The sequence below is a fragment of the Homo sapiens genome, chromosome 11 (assembly GCF_000001405.40).
Source record: "Homo sapiens chromosome 11, GRCh38.p14 Primary Assembly".
NCBI lineage: Eukaryota > Metazoa > Chordata > Mammalia > Primates > Hominidae > Homo > Homo sapiens.
Genome location: NC_000011.10, coordinates 46,700,675 through 46,717,350, shown reverse-complemented (window position 1 = coordinate 46,717,350; position 16,676 = coordinate 46,700,675). Strand labels below are relative to the sequence as shown.

The window sequence follows — 16,676 nt, the reverse complement described above, 5'->3', positions numbered from 1 at the left end:
GCAACCTCTACCTCCTAGGTTCAAGCGATTCTCCTGCCTCAGCCTCCCGAATAGCTGGAACTACAGGCACCCGCCATCATGCCTGGCTAATTTTTGTATTTTTGTAGAGACAGAGTTTCACCATGTTGCCCAGGCTGGACGTGAACTCCTGACCTCAGGTGATCTGCCCACTTTAGCCTCCCAAAGTGGGGATTACAGGCGTGAACCACTGCTACCTACCTGTTGGGTTTTTTTGTTTGTTTTTGTTTTGTTTTGTTTTGTTTTTTTGAGATGGAGTCTCACTCTGTCACCCAGAAAGGAGTGCAGTGGCGTGATCTCAGCTCACTGCAACCTCGGCCTCCTGAGTACAAGTGATTCTCCTGCCTCAGCCTCCCAAGTAGCTCCCAAGTGCATGCTAGGGATTACAAGCATGCACTACCACGCCCAGCTAATTTTGTATTTTTAGTAGAGATGGGGTTTCACCATGTTGGTCAGGCTGGTCTCGAACTGCTGACCTCAGGTGATCCACCTGCCTCGGCCCCCCAAAGTGCTGGGATTACAGGTATGAGCCACTGCCCGGCCTCTTTGCAGACTTTTACTCACAGTTGCAGGCCTGTTCAGTATATGACATTCTTATACCCAGAAATGGCTATCTTAGCCTGGGCTGCTATAAAATTACTGTAGGCCAGGTGCAGTGGCTCACGCCTGTAATCCCAATACTTTGGGAGGCCGAGGCGGGCCGATCACAAGGTGAGGAGTTCGAGACCAGCCTGGCCAACATAGTGAAACCCCGTCTCTACTAAAAACACATAAATTAGCTAGGCATGGTGGCACACACCTGTAATCCCAGCTACTCGGGAGACTGAGACAGAAAAATTGCTTGAACCCAGGAGGCAGAGGTTGCAGTGAGCCGAGAGTGTGCCAATGCACTCCAGCCTGGGCGACAGAGCAAGACTTCATCTCAAAAAAAAAAAAAAATTACTGTAAACTGGGTGGTTTAAACAACAGACATCTACAAGGGGTCTTCGAAAAGTTCATGGAAAATGCGTATTATGAAAAAAGACTGCATGGATTTAAAAAAATTTTTGTGCACCAAAATAAACTCACACTAACTTGCTATAACATGAGTGAACAGGATGTAGTTTGAGGCACTAAGAAGGATAAGACATCAGTTTGAAGCGAGCCCTTATCAGAGCTAAATGAATTCTGCTGAAATTGAAGCAAGAACAAACAACAAATTTACGGTGAAGCTTGGGTGGAAGAATGGTGAAATCACTGATGCTTTATGAAAAGTTTACGGAGACAATGTCCCAAAGAAATCAGCAGCTTACAAATGGACAACTCATTTTAAGAAGGGACAAGGCAGGCCGGGCGCGGTGTCTCATGCCTGCAATCCCACCACTTTGGGAGGCCGAGGCAGGTGGATCACTTGAGGACAGGAGTTCAAGACCAACCTGGCCACCATGGAGACACCTCGTCTCTACTAAAAATAAAAAAATTAGCTGGGCATGGATGTGCGTGCCTATAGTCTCAGCTATTTGGGAGGCTGAGACAGGAGAATAGCTTGAACCCGGGAGGCGGAGGCTGCAGTGAGCTGAGATCGTGTCACTGCACTCCAGCCTGGGCAACAGAGCAAGACTCTTGACTCCCAAAAAAAAAAGACATTTTTTGGACAAACAAAAACACTTAAATATAGGTTAGGTGTTTAGTGCACTACCATGGGTGCAGGACAACAATGGACCCAGCACATGCTTAGTCTTCAGGGTCTGATACAAGCCCCCAGCCTCCAGGAACCAACTGTTTGTTCTCCTTGGAACTCTGAGGTCCCTAGTTGGTACCATGCAGCCAAGTTTGGCATTCCTGCCGTTCAGCACAAACACGGCCTGCATACTTAAAGCAGACATATATATATTTTTTGTGTGTGAGACGGAATCTTGCTCTGTTTCCCAGGCTGGAGTGCAGTGGCATAATCTCGGCTCACCGCAACCTCCGCCTCCTGGGTTCAAGTGGTTCTCTTGTTTCGGCCTCCCAAATAGCTGGGATTACAGGTGTGTGCCACCACACCCAGCTAATTTTTGTTATTTTTAGTAGAGACAGGATTTCACCATACTGGCCAGGCTGGTCTCAAACTCCTGACCTCAGGTGATCTGCCCGCCTTGGCCCCTCAAAGTGCTGGGATTACAGGCCTGAGCCACCACACCCGGCCTTAAAGCAGATATTCTTGCCCTATAGGAGCAAGGCCATAACAAAGCGGGGGGCAGGGGGTGCATTCCTGCCCAACAAGTTGGCGTCAAACAAAATCATGGGTAAAGACCAATGCTAAATTGTAAAGCAAATCTCTATAACCACTGAAAACAGTAAAATTATGTTCCAAGACATAGTGTTAGAGAATTTCAGGGCTCAAAGAAAGACCAGATATTATTAAATCCAGCCATTTCCAAGCCTAGGGCTGTGTGCACGTTCTACGGGGTGGCCTTGTCTTTCTGCATATATTTTGTTAAAACCTCAAAAATTGTGAATTTGCCTTATTAAGACAAAAATGAATTTTTTTCCCTTTCGACTGAAATTTTTTCTCTTTAGGTGGTGAATAATCTTATGTTTTTCTCAATCTGATCAGCAGTTTTCAATTTTTTATTTCTTTTTTTTTTTTTGCTCTTCTGCAGACAGTGACTTAAGCAGTTTTCTATTTTGACTAGAAAATGTGAGTAAGCGGCTGGGCATAGTGACTCACGCCTGTAATCCCAGCACTTTGGGAGGCTGAGGTGAGCAGATCACTTGAGGTCAGGAGTTTGAAATCAGCCTGGCCAACATGGTGAAATTCTGTCTCTACTAAAAATACAAAAAAATTAGCCGGGCCTGGTGAGCACCTATAATCCCAGCTACTCAGGAGGCTGAGGCAGGAGAATCACTTGAACCCGGGAGGCGGAGGTTGCAGTGAGCTGAAATCATGCCACCACACTCCAGCTTGGAAAAGTATAAGTCAATTTCTATTTAGTAAAAATCTTTAAAAATATGGGATCCATAAGAGAAAAAAAGAAGTTAGCAAATGGTTCCATGATAGAGCCAAGACTGGGAATCATTGATTTCATCCAACTGCCCCATGTCTCTATGTGGTCATGGAGGAAATGGAGGGGGCACGGTCATACAGAATTGGTGGTAGAGCTAGGATGGAAACCCAGACTCCTGCTTCAGACCAGCACTTTTGCCTCTCCCAACCCTTGTCCCCTGACATTCTGGTAGAGTACGGCCTCACTGGGCCATAAAGTTGACCCAGAGAACACGCACCTACAGTACAGAACTACTGTGCGGGTGATGCTGGCCTGCCCCAAACTACTATACCTGAGGGCACATGTTAAGTCCCTTAATTTTGCCTGTCCTCCTATTTAGGAAGACTGATGACAATACTGTTAAGTACAATTTAGTAATTTGTTTTTTAATTTTTATTTTACTTTACTTTGAGACAGGGTGTCACTCTGTTGCCCAGGCTGGAGTACATACAGCAGGCTGGAGTATGGTGGCGTGATAATAGCTCACTGCAGCCTAGAACTCCTGGCTCAAGTGATCCTCCCACCTCAGCCTCCTGAGTAGCTTGGACTACAGGCAGGTGCCACCATGCCCAACTTATTTTTTTATTAATTAATTAATTTATTTATTTATTGAGATCGAGTCTCGCTCTGTCTCCTAGGCTGCAGTGCAATGGCACGATCTTGGCTCACTGCAACCTTCGCCTCCCGGGTTCAAGCAATTCTCCTGCTTCAGCTTCCCCAGTAACTGGGATTACAGGCGTGTACCACCTCTCCTGGCTAATTTTTGTAATTTTAGTAGAGACAGGATTTTGCCTTGTTGCCCAGGCTGGTCTCGAACTGCTGAGCTCACAGTGATCCACCTGCCTTGGCCTCCCAAAATGTTGGAATTACAGGCATGAACCACTGTGCCTGGCCTAATTTTATATTTTTAGAGACAGGGTCATGCTCTGTCGCCAGGCTGGAGTGCAGTGGTGCAATCATAGCTTACTACAACCTTGAACTCCTGGGCTCAAGCAATCCTCCTGACTCAGACTCCCAAGTAGCCGGGACTACAGGCCTGCACCACCAAGCTTGGGTATTTTTTTTTTTTATTTTATAGAAACACAGTCTCACTATGTTGGCCAGGCTGGTCTGGAACTCCTGGCTTCAAGCGATTCCCCTACCTTGTTCTCCAAAAGTGCTGGGATTATAGGGACTAGGCCTACAATTTAGTAATTGCTCACCATGTGCCAGGTAGGCAGGACTTATGAGGTAGGTACTATACTTATCCCCATTTTATGGATGAGGAAACTGAGGCACAGGGAAGCGAAGTGACTTGTCCAAGTTGATGCAGCTAGTCAAGGTCAAAGCCCCAACCCACTCCTGAACACGTCTAGAGATGGAGCTTTTTATCATCTGTGATGCCTTGCAATCTCTAAAGGTCTCTGAACGGTACCCATTTTTTATTCTAAGATTTTTTTTCTTGCACTACTAAAGTTGCAAATCAGGACAGAAGAGCTTTGATAGCCCTCGCTTTCTGATTTTGGGTTCAGCAGCTATAGACACTGCCTGGATTGACTTGCATCTGTGAAAAGGCTCCAGCAAAATCTTATTAGCGTCTTTGCCCTGTAGCAAGAAGCATCCAAATTCAGTATATACATCAAATCATTAAAAATGACCTATCAGGAGTGAATGAGAGGAGAGGTGTGGAATAAAGGGACTTTCAACATTATAATTAATAAAAATTATATGTGGTCAGGCGCAGTGGCTCACGCCTATAATCCCAGCAATTTGGGAGGCCAAGGTGGGCAGATCACCTGAGCTCAGGAGTTCAAGACCATCCTGGGCAACATGGTGAAACCCCGTCTCTACTAAAATACAAAAAATTAGCTGGGCATGGTGGTGCATGCCTGTAGTCACACCTACTTGGGAGGCTGAGGCACAAGAATCCCTTGAACCCGGGAGGCAGAGGTTGCAGTGAGCCAAGATCACGCCACTGCACTCCATCCTGGGTGACAGAGTGAGGCGGTCTCAAAAATAATAATAAATAAATAAATAGACTAGGCATGGTGGCTCATGCCTGTAATCCTAACACTTTGGGAGGCTGAGGTGAGTGGATCACTTGAGGACAGAAGTTCAAAACCAGCCTGGCCAACCATGGTGAAACCCTGTGTCTACTAAGAACACAAAAAACAGTCTGGGCATGGTGGCTCACCCCTGTAATCCCAGCACTTTGGGAGGCCAAGGTGGGTGGATCACCTGAGGTCAGGAGTTCGAGACCAGGCTGGTCAACATGGTAAAACCTCGTCTCTACTAAAAATACAAAAATTAGCCGGGCGTGGTGGCAGGTACCTGTAATCTCAGCTACTCAGGAGGCTGAGGCAGGAGAATTGCTTGAACCCAGGAGGCAGAGGTCGCAGTGAACTGAGGCAGTGCCACTGCACTTTAGCCTGGGCGATAGAGCAAGACTCCATCTCAAACAAAAAATCCATCTCAAAAAATAAATAAAATGAAAATTATATTGAAATCAGAGGAAAAAAAAAATAAAATATATATATATATATATATATATTTTTCAGACAGGGTCTTGTTGTGCTGCCCAGGCTAGAATGCAGTGGTAAAATCACAGCTCACTGTAGCCTTGAAATTCTGAAAATATTTTCTCAGTGAAAAAAAATATTCCAGTGATTAGTCTTTCCAAGAATGGTCTGCCTTTTATTTGAGCTGGAAGAGCACTAAATTAGGAATCAGAAGGCCGGAATTCTGTCCTGGTTCTGCTACTGACTGGTCTTCTGACCCTGGCAAGTGACTTGTGTTGTGGCCTCTGTTTTCTCATGGGTAACTGTAACATGAGGATCTTGGGAGATGCTGTGTAACACCCATTCTCACTTGAGCCATGCGTGTTGCCAGAGCAGAGACTCCCAAATCACCTGCCTTCCAATCCGTTGGCTCTGTCCTGACCCTGCTCCGACCCTGCTCCATGTACCATGTACCAGGGACGGCTTTAATGGAGGAAAAATTCTCCAATCTGTGTGGGGAATGTGGAAAGGGAGTGTGGGCATCTCAGCTGTTGGCCTGGGGATGCTGTGGGGTGTCAACAGGCCTCCCGGACAGCCCAGAGCATCCCCACGTCCTGCACAGTTCAATGTCAAGCAAGGAGCGTGTCCCCAGGATGCCTAAAACGCTAGGCAGACACTGCTGAGCAGTCCCCTGAGTTGAAGTGGGCCTGCCTGAGTCAGGAGCTGGAAAAGAAATTGAGCAGGTTCCAAGTCACAGGGTAGGCTGACTCAAAACTAATCTTAGCAGCTGTTTCTCAGGCTTTGGACAGTGTGGCCTTTCTCTTCACAGATCACCACGATTTCCTGCTGTCCTCCCGCCCCTTGGACAATTTTAGGTTTATGCTTTGCCAAGTTTTTCAGATTGGGCAGGCAACTGGGTTAATGTCAGTGGCAAACCAGGAGGCACGGGGCTGCCGGTGACATCGTGGTCAAGTGCTGGGAAGCCAGAAAACCACCCACATTAGAATCCTGGCTTTTGGCCGGGCACGGTGGCTCACGCCTGTAATCCCAGCACTTTGGGAGGCTGAGGCAGGTGGATCACTTGAGGTCAGGGGTTTGAGACCAGCCTGGCCAATATGGCAAAACTCCATCTCTACTAAAACTACAAAAATTAGCCGGGCATGTTGGCACACACCTTTAATCCCAGCTACTTGGGAGGCTGAAGCAGGAGAATCGCTTGAACCCGGGAAGAGGAGGTAAAGTTAGCGGAGTAGAGTTAGCAGAGACCGCAACACTGCAGTTCAGGCTGGGTGACAGAGTGAGATTCTGTCTCAAAAAAAAAAGAAGAATCCTGGCTTTGCCTCTTACTGATGGTGTGATCTTGTCATCCTCTCTGAGCCTCAGTTTCTTTTTTTTTTTTTTTGAGACAGAATTTTGCTCTTTTGGCGCAGGCTGGAGTGCAGTGGCGTGATCTTGCCTCGCCGCAACCTCTGCCCCCCGGGTTCAAGCGATTCTCCTGCCTCAGCCTTCCAAGTAGCTGGGATTTCAGGCATGCGCCACCACGCCCGGCTAATTTTTGTATTTTGAGTAGAGACAGGGTTTCTCTATGTTGGTCAGGCTGGTCTTGAACTCCCGACCTCAGGTGATCCGCCTGCCTCAGCCTCCCAAAGTGCTGGGATTATAGGCATGAGCCACCATGACCTTCTGCCTTAGTTTCTTTATCTGTAAGACAGGGACCACAATTCCTATTTTGCAGGACAGTAGAGGCATAAAACAAGCAAGTCTATCTTTTCCATCTCTCTTGCCTCCCGCCCCTCAAGGCAATCCCATCTGGCTTCCTCCGGCTCTCCCTCAGCTTGCCAGTAACTTCCATAAACTTCAACTCTCCCAATAGCAATGGACATTGCTAACCACATCCCCCTTGTTGAAACTTTTCCATCAGCTTCAATGGCATGCACTTTGTAGGTTTTTCTCTTTCGTTGGGTGATTTTTTGTGTCCCTTGATAAGCCTACCTCCTGTCACTGAACCTGAAGCGCTTGACCATCCTGGCCTTGGTCTTCCTCCCTGCTCTCTGTATTGAGGGAAACTAAAATATTTCACCCCAAAATATACTTCTTTGATATATTTCAAGATGGCTATTCAGAAGGGCTGGAAATACAAGAATAGCTGAAAAACTGTCTTGTGTGGGGGAGATTGTCATCTGCAGAGAAAACTGAAGAGAGCCAGGCATGGTAATCCCAGCACTTTAGGAGGCTGAGGAGGGCGGATCACTTGAGATCAGGAGTTGAAGAACATCCTGGCCAACATGGTGACACCGTCTCTACTAAAAATGCAAAAAATTAGCTGGGCGTGGCGGCGGGTGCCTGTAGTCCCAGCTGCTCGAGAGGCTGAGGCAGGAGAATGGCGCGAACCTGGGAGGCAGAGCTTGCAGTGAGCTGAGATCGCACCACTGCATTCCAGCCTGGGTGACAGAGAGAGACTCCATCTCAAAAAAAAAAAAACCAAAAACAAACAAACAAAAAAACACTGCATGGATGCAGCCAGGCTTTCTCTGAGCCCTCCCTTGTCCAGATCTAGAAAAGATTAACTGAGAGTCTGAGTCTGACACCTTTAAGATGGAAATTTTTTTTTTCTCCTCACTGTCACCGAGGCTGGAGTGCAGTGGTGCAATTTTGGCTCACTGCAAGCTCCACCTCCGGGGTTCACGCCATTCTCCTGCCTCAGCCTCCCAAGTAGCTGGGACTACAGGCACCCACCACCACGCCCGGCTAATTTTTTGTATTTTTAGTAGAGACAGGGTTTCACCGAGTTAGCCAGGATGGTCTTGATCTCCTGAATTCGTGATCTGCCCACCTTGGCCTCCCAAAGTGCTGGGATTACAGGCGTGAGCCACCATGCCCAGCCTTTTTTTTTTTTTTGAGAAAAAGTCTCACTCTGTTGCCCAGGCTGGAGTGCAATGGTGCTATCTTGGCTCACTACAGCCTCCACCTCCCCGGGTTCAAGTGATTCTTGTGCCTCAGACTCCCGAGTAGCTGGGATTACAGGCACGTACCAACACACCCAGCTAATTTTTGTATTTTTAATAGAGTCAGGGTTTCACTATGTTGGCCAGGCTGGTCTGCCACTCCTGAGTTCAAGCAATCCTCCTGCCTTGGCCTCCCAAAGTGCTGGAATTACAGGTGTGAGCCACCACGCCCGGCCAAGACTGACACCTTTAAAAGTCTGACAGAAACATTTATCATCCATTCTCTCTGAGGGCTGCTACATGTGAGGTTTCATTTACATCCCAAGACCCCCTTTGTTGACCCCCTTTGGGATGAGTTCTGAGTTTGAACTCATCCCAAACCCAAATCATAATTGTCCTGGGTCCCACCGTTACCTACTTACTTACTTTAGAAACCTTGAGGCTAGGTGCTGTGGTTCACACCTGTAATCCTAGTACTGTGGGAGGCCGAGGTGGGTGGATCGCCTGAGGTTAGGAGTTTGAGACCAGCCTGGCCAGCATGGTGAAACCCTGTCTCAACGAAAAATACAAAAATTAGCTGAGGGGCCTGGTGGCAGGCACCTATAATCCCAGCTACTCAGGAAGCTGAGGCAGGAGAATCGCTTGAACCTGGGGGACGGAGATTGCAGTGAGCCGAGATCACACCACTTCACTCCAGCCTGGGAGACAGAGGAAAACTCCATCTCAAAATAAAATTAATAAAACAAAAAAAAAAAGAAAACTTGAGTTAGACCTCCCTCTTTTCCACTGTCTTTGAATTGTGTCACTTGTGCCTCCTGGAGCACATAGCCACCCACCCACAGCCCTAACCCCAGCCTGCATGCATGGCACCTCTCTGACCTCATCTCCTTCCACGCTGTCTTGGTCTCCCTGCTCCTGCTGTCTACACTTGGCTTGTCCTCACTGTGCCCTGCTCAGAATCCAGCTCCTCCCCGACATCCTCCTCTCCATTATTCAGGCCTCTGCTTAAGCCTTTCTCTTAGAGGCCTTTGATGACCACCTTCTGTAAATCCCATTCCCATTCTTTGTCACCCCAGCTCCAGTGCGGTGGCTTGATCACAGCTCACTGTAGCCTCGACCTCCTGGGCTCAGGCAATCATCCTCCATGAGCTTCCTGAGTAGCTGGGACCACAAGTGCATGTCACCACTCCCAGCTATGTTGCCCAGGATGGTCTCGAACTCCTGGGCTCAAGTGATCCTCCCACTTTGGCCTTCCAGAGTGCTGGGATTACAGGCATGAGCCACCGTGCCCGGCCACCCTGCATTACTCTTAATACGCTTAACACTTTTACCACCATCTGACATGCATTTGTCATTTTCCATGCTAGGTGAGCTAATGTGAACACAGATACTGCTACATCCCTAACAACTTGCATTCAGGAAGCACTCAGTAAATATAAGCTGGGTGGATGACTCCATTTCTCTGCATTTCCACAGCTACCACCCCATTCCCAGGCACCCCGCAGACTCCTAATTGACTTTGCCACAACTTCATTTTGCTTTCCAATCCATTTCCTAGTTGTCTTTTCAAACACAATTTTGATCCTGTTATTCCCCTGTTCAAAACCCTTCAAAGTGCTCCTCGACGTCCTGAAAATAAAGTCCAAACTCCTGAGCCATGGTCCTATGTGATCTGGCCCTCCTCCCTCTCCACCTTTCCCCCGCCCATCCATGTTGGTCCCAGTAGCTCAGACCTACCAGTCTTTCACCACCTCCCCTCCCACCTCCACATCCATCGAGCCACAGCTGAAACACGGGGCAGGAGAGTGCAGCAGTGAAGAGCCTGACTCCAGCGCGAGGTTTTGTGGGCTGGGATCTCAACCCACTTGTAGCACTGTGAACTTGGGCAGGATACTTAAAGCTCTTTGCTCTTCAATTTCCTGATCTGTAGGAAAAAAACACTACTCCTACCTCACAGGGTTGTTATGAGGATTATATAAAGCACTAGCCCACAGTAAGGGCTGAATGTTATTATTCTTGGGGACATCTTCCCTGGCACTCCAGACCACATTAAATTGCCCCATTAAACAAGTTCACAGTACCCAGCTATGCCCCTTTAAACTTTCATCCAATGATTTCTGCCTCCCTGCCCCCAGCATGCGTGGATCAGTAAAGGGTACTGCCTCTGTTACGTTCATAGCTGTGTCCCAGTGCCTAGCACAGTGCAGGTCACAGTAAATGCAAAACACATGTCCTTCCCTGAACAGGGCGGCCTTTAGACCAGGCACACAGAGGGGCACAGATCTGGCCCTAGCCACCTCCCAAGGTGTTCAGTCTATTTTTTTTTTTTTTGAGACAGAGTCTTGCTCCGTCGCACAGGCTGGAGTGCAGTGGCGCGATCTCGGCTCACTGCAAGCTCCGCCTCCCAGGGTCATGCCATTCTCCTGCCTCAGCCTCCTGAGTAGTTGGGACCACAGGCGCTCGCCATCACTCATGGCTACTTTTTTTGTATTTTTAGTAGAGACGGGCTTTCACCATGTTAGCCAGGATGGTCTCGATCCCCTGACCTCATGATCCGCCTGTCTCGGCCTCCCAAAGTGCTAGGATTACAGGCGTGAGCCACTGCGCCCGGCCCGGTGTTCAGTCTTAAAAGCCATTCGATTTGCTTCCAAATTGAAGCGCCTGTCCCTCAAGGAGCTCCATGGGTGTGACCATCCTGGTGCTAAGCAACCAGTCAGCAGTAGCGCTGCCAACGACCACTGCCTCACTGGGTCCCTTCAGCAGCGCTTAAACAATAAGCACCCTGTGGCGTTCCTAGGGAAGGAGGCAGAACAACAAGCTCTACCGGATGTCAATTCAAACATCTCTACTTCAGAAGAGGTTTGACCTAGTATGCTTGGAACACGATTTGGTGGTTCTTAAGCAGGAAGGGAAGTCCTTGATCTGTCTGTCATAGTAGACTCTAATCCCTACTAGGCAACCCCAAGAAAGAAGATGCAGACACGCAGCAGTGAGAAAGCACGAGTCTTTATGGAGCTGTGTCAGCAAAAGGCAAAGCTGTCAGGTGCCCATCTCCACCTCCACCACCTCTGCCCAGGCGCCGAGGCCCATGTCCTTATGGATTAGCACCAGGCTGGGGGCGGCATCTGGCTCCTCTGGCACCACAAAGCACTTCTCCTGGCTTTCTGAAATGGTGACCTCAACAACATCCCTGGCGGGGGAGACTTCCTCCTCTCTGTGTGTGTCCAGCAGTTGTGGCTCAGCCTGCAGGAGCACCACAGTGGGCTCAGAAGCAGCAGAAGGCACAGAGGGTGGGCTGCAGGGTGCCTCAGGCCGGTGACTGAGCTGATGCCGCCTGAGGCTCTGCGGGAGGGTGTAGCCCATGCCACAGGTGGGGCAGCGGTAGGGCTTGTCCTCCAAGTGAGATTTGAGGTGGCGCCGCAGCTTGGTGGCCAGCGTGTAAGCACGGCCACACTGGGGACAGGGAAAGGGCCTCTCTCCGGAGTGCAGGCGCTCGTGAGCTCGGAGCGTGTGTGGGTCTCGGAGGGCCTTGCCACACACCGGGCACAAGTGGGCCTCCCCGGTGTGTGAGATGAGATGGCGCCGCAGTTCAGGCAGCTGGGGGAAGGCATCGGCACAGTGTGGGCAGCGGTAAGGACGCTCCCCGGTGTGGAGCCGCAAATGCCCACGCAGGTTGCCCCGCTGACGAAACGCCCGGCCACAGTGCGGGCACAGGAAAGGCTTTTCTCCTGTATGGAGCCTCATATGGTTCCGCAGGGAGCCCTGGTTGGCCAGGGGCCGCCCACACACAGGGCATGGGCAAGGGGCAGGGGCAGCTGGCACCTGGTGGGTCTTGCGATGCAGCCGCAGGGAGGGCCGGCGGGCAAAGGCCTTGCCACACTGGTCACAAGCAAAGGGCCGGGCACCTGAATGTACCACCTGGTGCTCTTTGAGGTCTCGCTGGGTGCCATAGGCCTTGTCGCATTGTGGACAGGGGAAGGGCCGCACCCCACGGTGGCCCAGCATATGGGCTTTGAAGCTCTCCTCTGAGCTATAGCTCTTGCCACACTCAGTGCAAAGAAAGGGCTTGTGGCCCGTGTGCACAAATGCGTGCTTCTTTAGGTGGCACAGCTGTAGGAATGCCTTGCCACACTCTCCACACCGGTACCGTCGCCCCTGCTTTGGGGAGCTTCCTGCTGGGCCAGGAGGGCTCCGCGAGAGTGTAGGGAAGCCAGACTGCTGGGCTCCAGGCTCTGGGGTCTTTGCTCTGGGTGGGCACTGATCACTGGGGCTGTGTAACTTCTTGGCCAGGTAGCCATGCGGCTGGGTGCCCCTGGCAGAAGATGAGAAACTGGCTCCACTGCCATCTGGGTCCTGCTGGGTAGCCGAATTGCTCTGAAGTTCAGGTGGCATCTGTGCCTGGGCCGGGCATTCCTCATCCACGTCGCCATCCTGAAGCAATGGGCCAAGTGGCTGGCTATCCTTGGAAATTCGGTCCTGGGTTGGGAACTTAAGTCCAGGGCTCACCATATTCTCTGCCTGGATGCCAGAGGGTGACTGGGAACCAGGATCTGCAAGGCAAGGATGGGGTACTGGGTTTAGGGAGCTTCAATGCAGATGGTGTTACCAGGGAATTACAGGATCAGATGTTTTCTCCCACCCAGCCCCTGAGCCTTAGAGGGAGCAATGATACCAATCTCTTCCCTGGAGCATGGGGTGCACACTCCATTTATCTTCCTGTCCAGCCTTAAGCGCCTTTTGGAGAAGCACTCCTGAGAGCCATGGGGTCCCAGCCATCTGGATAATCACTAGAATAAGGCCATCCCAGATGGAGAATCCCCTTGTTCGCCCCTGGAGACACATATTTAGGATGTGATTCAAGACCCCTTCCAGCCGGGCACGGTGGCTCACACCTGTTAAGCCTAGCATCTTGGGAGGCAGAGACAGGCAGATCACTTGAGGCCAGGAGTTCGAGACCAGCCTGGCTGACATGGTGAAACCCCATCTCTACTAAAAATGCAAAAAAATTAGCTGAGGCTGAGGCAGGAGAATCACCTGAACCTGGGAGGCAGAGGTTGCAGCGAGCTGAGACCACGCCATTGCACTCCAGCCTGGGCGACAGAGTGAGACTCCATCTCAAAAAAAAAAAAAAACAACAACAACAACAACAACAACAACAAAACAAAACAAAACAAAAAAACCCCTTCCCACCTTAGCTCATCTGTAATATAAAAGAACCCCCACGCCAGAGAGAAGAAACATGGGAGGCTGGAAACCGTGTACATACAAAGCTTACTCTCTTTCTTACTATTCCAGGAAGCTCTTAGGAAGGTAAAAGTTGCAAATATCTATATTGTTATTCCAAAGAACAGACCCGTCGCTCTTCAACAGAAAGCAATGAATGACAATTCATAGTCTGAGACTGTCCCTTGCCTGAAAATTCTAGCCTTGCTGTATGTACCAACCCTAAGCTATTCAGTCATAATCCTTACCCAATACTAATCAAGCCCCACCCTCCTATCCCATGTTGAAAGATCCACCTTAAAACAGATTTTGAAAAGCTACTAAGACTCTATAGTGTCCTTCCTTACCGCAATGAGCCATAAACTCTGCTTTGTCTTATCAACAGGTTGTTTTGGTGGGGAAATTGCTGGGAAACCAGCATTTATTTGACACATACCTATGCAAGGTTCTGCTGCATCCTCCCCAGGGGAGGCCACTTCCTGCTGTACAGCAGACTCCACTTCTGTCACCACTGCTACAGCTGCCTCTTTGTCCAGCCCAGGCTGGGTGAGACTTGGGCCCTCAGAGGAAGGCTGGGGCCACAGCAGCAGTTCAGAGCCTGGCAGCACCAGCTGGTACACTTGCAGATGAAGCCTCTCGCTGATCCGCACTGGGGCCACATTTCCCTCACTCTCCAGCCTGCCCCGTTGTACCAAGCTGCAAAGCAAAGTAACAGCCAGCTAGGAGATGCTCACTATTCAAGTGGTCTTCCCCGAAAGCCCCAGTCCCCAAGCAGTCTGGGTCCTAAAGGACGCCGTGCCTTTGGAACATTCACTGCAAAAGAGCACTGAATAGGAAATGACAGTCAGCACCGGGTTCCATCCCAAACCACAACAGAAAACCTCAAAGGAACGACACACTCTCCTCTGACTTACCTAGTCCAGCCAGAACTCTGCTCACAGGCACACACGTCTCCCCATGGGCCTAATGACAGGTTCTGAAATAAACCAACAAAAGTCCTTCTCAAATGTGTTCGAGGGGTCGGGTAGGAATAAAAAAAGAAACTAGATGAAACTTTCCTGGGACAAATTTAAGATGAAACTCCTGGAAGGTTAGAAGCCTCTGGTTCTCCTCTAACAGGACAGTGCTGTCTGATTCTTCATTCAGTAAGGACCAAAAAGTCTGTCTCCTCACCTCCCTCCCAAGGGTATGGAGAATTACTAAATTGAACACATTACTGTCTTCCAGTGAGTACTAAACAGAAAAAGTAATAAGGAACACCAGCTTTTTAAAATGGTATTTATTGGGCCAGGCGCGGGGGCTCACACCTGTAATCTCAGCACTTTGGGAGGCCCAGGCAGGCGGATTACTTGAGGCCAGGAGTTTGAGACCAGCCTCACCAACATGGTGAAACCCTGTCTCTACTAAAAATACAAAAATTAGCTGGGTGTGGTGGTGCACATCTGTAATCCCAGCTACTCGGGAGGCTGAGGCATGAGAATCACTTGAACCTGGGAAGTGGAGGTTGCAATAAGGCGAGATCGTGCCACTGCACTCCAGCCTGGGCGACAAAGCAAGACTGTCTAAGAAAAAAGAAAAATAAATAAAATAAAATGGTACTTATTGTGCAGTGAAACCTTTTATCTTCACTATTTCATCAGCTCCTCCATATAATCCCAAGAGAGCCACTGCTTTGTTTCACAGATGAATTAAATGCGGCACGTAATTTAACCAGCTAGGTGACAAAGCTGGAATTTGATCCCATGCTTTCTTAATTCCAAAAACCTTAGCTCTTGACCTTCCTCACTCACTGCTGACACTGTATGATTCCAGCTTTCAACAACTTTTCAAACCTCGATTCTTTAACTACTGCTGCTGAGAGGAGACAGTCCTGAAGAGAAGGGACAAGACTATCTCCTATCTCTTGAAATACTCTCTTTCTTCAAATTGAAAAGCTGTCTAGCAATGTCCAAACCTCCCCTACATTTTCAAGGGCGGAGGGAAGTCGCTCTATCCTTCAATACCTCCTCCTGCCGTGGCTTTACTCCCTCGCCCTTCTCCTTGGAGGCAGACTCCTCTTCCAGCGGCCCCCACAGCAGGCCGGGCTGCAGGGGGTCCCCGACACACCAGACCCCCAAGCGCTGTTCCTTGGCGAGTGAGGGGCCAAGGGCCAAGCCCCGGGGAAGGCTCTTTAAAGCGAGGATGTCTCGGGTCGGCTCGGGTGGGACGTCTTTGAGGCCCTGCGTACAGCCTTCTCCGGAAGGGTTCCATCCTAAGTCCAGGCCCAGGCGCGGCTCGCGGGCTGCAGAGAGAAGGGAAGACAGTGAGGGAGCCACCCAAGAAGGTGGGAGGTGGGGAAAAGTGTGGGAGGAAACCGCAGGTCCAGGTGGGCCTGCGGAGCCCGAGGGACAGGTGAGGGCTCTAAGGAGGGCCCTGAAAGTTTTGAGGAGGCTCAAGGGCTCTTCAGAAGCCCCCAGCGACTCTGAGGGCACTGGAGGATCCTGGGATCCGGAGGAGAGAAGACTGAGGAGAAAGCTGACCACAGAGCGTCAGATCCACCTGGGCCAAGGTTGAGGGTCGCGGACATCGCAGGTCACTCACCGAGTTGCAGCGCCTTCTTCCCCTCCAAGAGCAGCTCCTCCGCCTCCTCCATTCCGGGTCAGAAAGCCTCCCTACGCCGGAAGTGAGCTTCCTCTTCTCAGCTCCTCCAGGAAACAGTCACGGACTTCCAAATTTTTTTCTCAGGAAAGAAGCCTCAGAGCTGGACCTCATTGGTGCACAGGACTGGGAGTTTGGGAGTACTGGGGAGGCAGAACTCTGTCCGAGAGCAATGCGAACCTCGGATTCCGGAGGTGCACCAGTGATTCGACTAGCTGGGAAAGCGGAACTAATTGTTCCAGCCATCTCTTTGGGAGCGACGAGTCGGACAGTTATGCTGTTACCTCCCCGAGGCAGGAACTTAGGCGGGCATGTGCAGGAAGTGGGCGGGGCTCCTGGAAAGGCCATGTTTGGGGCCGGAAGTGGGT

At 50.1% G+C, this 16,676-nt stretch overlaps 1 protein-coding gene across 2 annotated transcripts, besides 1 other annotated feature; it reads right to left on the bottom strand.

The window, feature by feature from the left end:
- Positions 11,439-16,320, bottom strand: ZNF408 (zinc finger protein 408). Of its 2 annotated transcripts, none has more exons than NM_001184751.2 (5): positions 16,210-16,320; positions 15,675-15,952; positions 14,586-14,647; positions 14,108-14,367; positions 11,439-12,998 (listed from the first exon to the last, which is right to left on the bottom strand). In NM_001184751.2, exons 1-5 carry the CDS (start codon positions 16,235-16,237, stop codon positions 11,488-11,490), a joined length of 2,139 nt encoding a protein of 712 aa, NP_001171680.1. In that variant the 5' UTR covers positions 16,238-16,320; the 3' UTR covers positions 11,439-11,487. The 2 variants fall into 2 exon arrangements, with proteins under 2 accessions (NP_001171680.1, NP_079017.1); NM_024741.3 differs by having other exon boundaries at positions 16,252-16,320.
- Positions 16,237-16,526: an enhancer, noted in NCBI's record as "active region_4684". NCBI's record gives its function as "activates an Ori minimal core promoter by ATAC-STARR-seq in GM12878 lymphoblastoid cells {active_cell/tissue: GM12878}" and the evidence as "EXISTENCE:reporter gene assay evidence [ECO:0000049][PMID:35858748]".

Coding starts and splice junctions, on each gene's coding strand:
- ZNF408 (NM_024741.3), bottom strand. CDS start 16,303: ATGGAGGAGGCGGAGGAGCTGCTCTTGGAGGGGAAGAAGGCGCTGCAA. Junction 14,648..15,674: donor TAAAGCCACGGCAGGAGGAG/GTATTGAAGGAT, acceptor GGTTTATTTCAG/AACCTGTCATTAGGCCCATG. Junction 12,999..14,107: donor TGCAGCAGAACCTTGCATAG/GTATGTGTCAAA, acceptor CTTGCCTTGCAG/ATCCTGGTTCCCAGTCACCC.